Below are 7677 nucleotides of genomic sequence, written 5' to 3' on the forward strand. Positions count from 1 at the left end.
ACACAGTGAATATATAAAGATCTAGAGCTTAGAAAATAGGCCTGGATAGAAAATAGATTTTGACATAGAAAGGATGGTTATTAACATCATAGAATGAATGAAGTGGCTTAGGGAAAGGGCACAGAGTAAGAAAAGCAGACCTAGGACCACACTTAAAGGAATATCAGTATTTAAAGGCTAACTAGAATAGTATTGGCCAAGGAGGCTAGAAAAGAATAGTAAAAAAGATAAGACAGAAATTAAGAGTGTGTAGTCACAGTACCAAACAAAGGTAGTTCTGAAGAAAATAGGCATGGATAGGCCCAAGGAATATTTTTGAAAGGATGGAAATGTTTTATTATTGACTGTGTTGATGATTAAATGGCTTTGTAAATTTTCTAAAAAGAGTTGAATTTTATACTTAAAAAGGATGAATTTTATGGCAAATAAATTATATCTCAGTACACGGTAAAGGAAAAAAAAAAGAAAAAAGGCATGGTAATCATGTGGACAGTTGAAGAAGGATTGAGACAAAGACTAAGAAGTATCTCTTCTTTTTCCATCAAAAGAAGCCTTTCACTTATCCACCACGATCAAGTCGGCTTCATCTTAAGGATGCAAGGCTGGTTCAACATATACAAATCAATAAATGAAATTTATCACATAAACAGAACTAAAGACAAAAACCACATGATTATCTCAATAGATACAGAAAAGACCTTTGATAAAATTCGACATCCCTTCATGTTAAACACTTTCAATAAACTAGATATTGAAGGAACATAGCTCAAAATAATAAAATAATAAGGACAATTTACGACAAATCCACAGCCAATATCATACTGAATGGGCAAAAGCTGGAAGCATTCCCCTTGAAAACCGGCACAAGACAAGTATGCCTTCTCTCACCACTCCTATTCAACATAGCATTGGAAGTTCTGGCCAGAGCAATTAGGCAAGAGAAAGAAGTAAAGGGTATTCAAATAGGAAGAGAAGACGTTAAATTGTCATTGTTTGCAGATGACATAATCCTGTATCTAGAAAACCCCATCGTCTCAGCCCAAAAGCTTCTTAAGCTGACAAACAACTTCAGCAAAATCTCAGGATACAAAATCAATGTGCAAAAATCACAAGCTTTCCTATACATCAACAAAAGGCAAGCCAAACCATGAATGAACTCCCATTCACAATTGCTACAAAGAGAATAAAATAACTAGGAATACAGCTAAGAAGGGAAGTGAAGGACCTCTTCAAGGAGAACTACAAACCACTGCTCAAGGAAATCAGAGGGGACACAAACAAATGGAAAGACATTCCATGCTCATGGATAGGAAGAATCAATATCATGAAAATGGCTATGCTGCTGAAAATAATTTATAGATTCAATGCTATATCCCATTAAATTACCATTTATTCTTCACAGACTTAGGAAAAAAACTATTTTAAAATTCATGTGGAACCAAAAAAGAGTCTGAATAGCCAAGACAATGCTAAGCAAAAAGAAAAAAGCTGTAGGCATCATGCTATCTGACCTCAAAGTGTACTATAAGGCTACAGTAACCAGAACCATCTGATCTTCGACAAACTTGACAAAAACAAGCAATGGAGAAAGGATTCCCTATTTAATAAATGGTGTTAGGAGAACTGGCTAGCCATATGTAGAAAACTGAAATTGGACCCCTTCCTCACACCTTATACAAAAATTAACTCAAGATGGATTAAAGACTTAAATGTAAAACCCCAAAACTATAAAAACCCTAGAAGAAAATCTAGGCAATACCATTCAGGACATAGGCACAAGCAAAGATTTCATGATGAAAATGTCAAAAGCAATTGCAACAAAAGCAAAAATGACAAATGGGATCTAATTAAGCTAAAGAGCTTCTGCACAGCAAAAGAAACTATAATCAGAGCAAACGGACAATCTACAGGATGGGAGAAAATTTTTTCAATCTATCTATATGACAAAGGTCTAATATCCAGAATTTACAAGGAACTTAAACAAGTTTACAAGAAAAAAAAACAACCCCGTTAAAAAGTGGGCAAAGGACATGAACAGACACTTCTTAAAAGAAGACATACATGCGACCAAGAAACATATGAAAAAAAGCTCAACATCACTGATCATTACAGAAATGCAAATTAAAACCACAATGAGATACCATCTCATGCCAATCAGAATGGCAATTATTAAAAGGTCAAGGAACAACAGGTGTTGGTGAGGCTGCAGAGAAAAAGGAATGCTTTTACACTGTTGGTGGGAATGTAAATTAGTGCAATCATTGTGGAAGACAGTGTGGTGATTCCTCAAAGACTTAGAACCAGAAATACCATTTGGCCCAGCAATCCCATTACTGGGTATATACCCAAAGGAATATAAATCATTCTATTATAAAGATACATGCATACATATGTTCATTGCAGCACTATTTGCAAAAGCAAAGACATGGAATCAACCCAGCTGCCCATCCATAATGGACTGGATAAAGAAAATGTGATAAATATACACCATGGAATACTATGCAGCCATAAAAAGGAATGAGATCATGTTCTTTGCAGGGACATGGATGGAGCTGGAAGCCATTATCTTCAGCAAACTAATGCAGGAACAGAAAACCAAACACCACATGTTTTCACTTACAAGTGGGAGCTGAACAATGAGAACACATAGACACAGGGAGGGAAACAACACACACTGGGGCCTGGTGGGGGCAGGGGTGAAGGAATGGAGAGCATCAGGAAAAACAGCTAATACATGCTGGGCTTAATACATAGGTAAGGGTTTGATAGGTGCAGCAAAACATGATGGCACATGTTTACCTATGTAACAAACCTGCACATCTTGCATATGTACCTAGAACTTAAAAAAAATCCTCCTGAAATTAAAAAAAGGAGGGTTTAATTAGAAAGGTAAAAGAGTGTTTGGGAGGAACTGAGAACTGAATGAATGGTGAGGAGTGAAGGTAGTGTGTGTGAACGACTGTTCTTAGATACGAAAGTGCTTTGCAAACTGTAAATCACATTGTATTGTATTGGGATTGGATTTTATTTTTAAATTTAAAAAACAGATTTATGGGGTCCAAGAGAAGTTTTGTTATGTGGGTATATCACATAGTAGTCAAGTCTGGGCTTTTAGGGTAGCCATCACTTGAATAGTGTACATTGTACCCATAAGTAATTTCATATCCCTCACCCACCTCCGACCCTCTCACCCTTCTGAATCTCCATTGTCTATTATTCCATTCTCTATGTTCATGTGTACAAATTATTTTATTATTATTATTATTTTGAGATAGAGTCTTGCTCTGTCACCCAGGCTGGAATGCAGTGGTGCAATCTTGGCTCACTGCAATCTCTGCCTACCGGGTTCAAGCGATTCTCCTGCCTCAGCCTTCTGAGTAGCTGGGACTACAGGCGTGTGCCACCATTGTCTAATTTTTTTTTTTTTTTTTGCAGTCTTAGTAGAGACGGGGTTTCACTGTGTTAGCCAGGATGGTCTTTATCCCCTTACCTCGTGATCTGCCCGCCTCAGCCTCCCAAAGTGCTGGGATTACAGGCATGAACCACGGTGCCTGGCCCCATGTATACAAATTATTTAGCTCCCACTTATGAGTGAGAACATATGGTGTTTGAGTTTCTGTTTCTGGGTTATCTGAAATTTTATTTTTTGAAGGCGTAACAGGCTTTCTCCCTAGAACAGTGATTTTCAAAGTGGAGCGCACAAGTAAATATTAGAACTTGTAGATATTAATTTAATCTAATAATAAGAAGACAGTTGGCTTTGCCAACTTTTGATATATGGATTGAGAGTGGTGCTCTCCTTTGGTCCATGAAGCTTTTTCATGAACAATGTGTATGGTGTTGGGAAAATGTAAGGGTTTTGCCAGGTAGAAGGTGGATAGTGATCCTGACCTCGAGAGCTCATTCACCTCCAGTGAAATACAGGATGTTCCAGTTTATGCCTTTGCAAGAAATTTCACAGGTTATATTACCAGGCTTTAATGAAACAAATCTTCAAAAAATGGACAAGTTTCTTAAAAATATTCCTATAAATAAACTTCATATTAAAGAGAATTTTAGTAATTTTACTACAAAGAACAAGAAAACACCTCCTCTCCTTCTAGTACAGACTCTCTGTCAGTCAGAATAATGGTTTGATCTGACCAAAAGGGGCCAAAACACCTGAAACAATTACAACAATCTGAAATATTAATCTATTGTTATTAGTAGTGCTACCACACTTTGTCCCATTTGTTTTCTATTGGGTTTACTGTGCTTTTGTGAGCTATATTTTCTAGCTGTAAACAAACAGCTATAAATCCATTAAAACCACATATTGAAATAAACTGAACTCAGTAGCAAACCTTTGAACTACTATGTCATAAATTGAGAAACCAAGGTTTTTTGAAAAACCAAGTTGTAATCAATGCATTGCTTATATCAAAATTAATATTAATTATTTAAAAGGGCAAATTCATGTAGTAAAGTCTTAAAATAAATCTATGCTACCCCTACAATACTACTATTTACTTGTTTGGTCAGTTCAGGGCAAAAACTGTGAAGGTAAGTTTTGATTTTAGTATCCCCCTCCCCACTGGCACCCAGGTTTGATGAGTGCCCTTTCCCTCCCCGCCTAACCTCCTTTACCCATGCTCCTCCCCATCCACCCCACATAAGCTGCCTCCTGATGGCAGTCCTTCTTATCCCACTGAGTGGCTGTGGATGACAACAGCAATTCTCAGTGACCTCTAAAATACGTCCTTTCCTGTCCTGCCCAGGAGAGTGGAAATTGACAGTACCTAGGGAAATCTTTAAAACTCTGCATAGGAGGCAATTCCAAGATCGCCGAACAGGAACAGCTCCAGTCTACAGCTCTCAGTGTGAGCAACGCAGAAGACGGGTGATTTCTGCATTTCCAACTGAGATACTGGGTTCATCTCACTGGGGCTTGTCAGACGGTGGGTGCAGGACAGTGGTTGCAGTGCACCAAGCATGAGCCAAAGCAGGGCGAGGCATTGCCTCACCAGGGAAGCTCAAGGGGTGAGGGAATTCCCTTTCCTAGCCAAGTGAAGCTGTGACAGACGGCACCTGGAAAATTGGGTCACTCCCACTCTAATACTGTGCTTTTCCAATGGTCTTAGCAAAGGCACACCAGGAGATGATATCCTGCGCCTGGCTCAGAGGGTTCCACGCCCATGGAGCCTCACTCATTGCTAGCACAGCAGTCTGAGTTCAAACTGCAAGGCAGCAGCGAGCCTGGAGAAGGGGCACCTGCCATTGCTGAGGCTCGGGTAGGTAAACAAAGCAGCTGGGAAGCTCGAACTGGGTGGAGCCCACTGCAGCTCAAGGATGCCTGCCTGCCTCTGTAGACTCCACCTCTGGGGGCAGGGCATAGCTGAACAAAAGGCAGCAGAAACCTCTGCAGACTTAAATGTCCCTGTCTGACAGCTTTGAAGAGAGTAGTGGTTCTCCCAGCACGGAGTTTGAGATCTGAGAACGGACAGACTGCCTCCTCAAGTGGGTCCCTGACCCCCGAGTAGCCTAACTGGGAGGCACCCCCCAGTAGGGGCAAACTGACACCTCACACGTCCAGGTACCCCTGTGAGATGAAGCTTCTAGAGGAACGATCAGGCAGGAACATTTGCTGTTCAGCAATATTCGCTGTTCTGCAGCCTCCGCTGCTGATACCCAGGCAAACAGGGTCTGGAGTGGACCTCCAGCAAACTCCAACAGACCTGCAACTAAGGGTCCTCACTGTTAGAAGAAAAACTAACAAACAGAAAGGACATCCACACCAAAACCGCATCTGTATGTCACCATCATCAAAGACCAAAGGTAGATAAAACCACAAAGATGGGGAAAAAACAGAGCAGAAAAGCTGAAAATTCTAAAAATCAGAGCGCCTCTCCCCCTCTAAAGGAACGCAGCTCCTCACCAGCAATGGAACAAAGCTGGATGGAGAATGATTTTGACGAATTGAGAGAAGAAGACTTCAGACAATCAAACTTCTCTGAGCTGAAGGACGAAGTTCGAACCCATTGCAAAGAAGCTAAAAACCTTGAAAAAAGATTAGATGAATGGCTAACTAGAATAACCAATGCAGAGAAGTCCTTAAATGACCTGATGGAGCTGAAAACCATGGCACAAGAACTATGTGATGAATGCACAACCTTCAGTAGCTGATTCAATCAACTGGAAGAAAGGGTATCAGTGATTGAAGATAAAATGAATGAAATGAAGTGAGAAGAGAAGTTTAGAGAAAAATGAGTAAAAAGAAATGAACAAAGCCTCCAAGAAATATGGGACTATGTGAAAAGACCAAATCTACGTCTGATTGGTGTACCTGAAAGTGACAGGGAGAATGGAACCAAGTTGGAAAACACTCTACAGGATATTATCCAGGAGAACTTCCCCAATCTAGCAAGGCAGGCCAACATTCAGATTCAGGAAATACAGAGAATGCCACAGAGATACTCTTCGAGAAGAGCAACTCCAAGACACATAATTTTCAGATTCACCAAAGTTGAAATGAAGGAAAAAATGTTAAGGGCAGCCAGAGAGAAAGGTCGGGTTACCCACAAAGGGAAGCCCGTCAGACTAACAGCGGATCTGTTGGCAGAAACTCTACAAGCCAGAAGAGAGTGGGGGCCAATATTCAACATTCTTAAAGAAAAGAATTTTCAACCCAGAATTTCATATCCAGCCAAACTAAGCTTCATAAGTGAAGGAGAAATAAAATACTTTACAGACAAGTAAAGGCTGAGAGATTTTGTCACCACCAGGCCTGTCCTACAAGAGCTCCTGAAGGAAGCACTAAACATGGAAAGGAACAACCAGTACCAGGCACTGCAAAACATGCCAAATTGTAAAGACCATCAAGGCTAGGAAGAAACTGCATCAACTAACGAGCAAAATAACCAGCTAACATCATAATGACATGATCGAAGTCACACATAACGATATTAACCTTAAATGTAAATGGGCTACATGCTCCAATTAAAATACACAGACTGGTGAATTGGATAAAGAGTCAAAACCCATCAGTGTGCTGTATTCAGGAGACCCATCTCACATGCTAAGACACACATAGGCTCAAAATAAAGGGACGGAGGAAGATCTACCAAGCAAATGGAAAACAAAAAAAGGCAGGGGTTGCAATCCTAGTCTCTGATAAAAACAGACTTTAAACCAGCAAAGATCAAAAGAGACAAAGAAGGCCATTACATAATGGTAAAGGGATCAATTCAACAAGAAGAGCTAACTATCCTAAATATATATGCACCCAATACAGGAGCACCCAGATTCATAAAGCAAGTCCTTAGAGACATACAAAGAGACTTAGACTCCCACACAATAATAATGGGAGACTTTAACACCCCACTGTCAACATTAGACAGATCAATGAGACAGAAAGTTAAAAAGGATGTCCAGGAATTGAACTCAGCTCTGCACCAAGCAGACCTCATAGACATCTACAGAACTCACCACCCCAAATCAACAGAATATACATTCTTCTCAGCACTGCATCACACTTATTCCAAAACTGACCACATAGTTGGAAGTAAAGCACTCCTCAGCAAATGTAAAATAACAGAAAATTTTTTATTAGCTGTTAAAAACTTTACTGAATCATTGATTTCAAGAGTGATTTATAATCTTTGTTTAATAATAGAAGTTATACATCTTATTTTTAAGTTT

Source organism: Homo sapiens, chromosome 4 (assembly GCF_000001405.40).
Source record: "Homo sapiens chromosome 4, GRCh38.p14 Primary Assembly".
Taxonomy (NCBI): domain Eukaryota; kingdom Metazoa; phylum Chordata; class Mammalia; order Primates; family Hominidae; genus Homo; species Homo sapiens.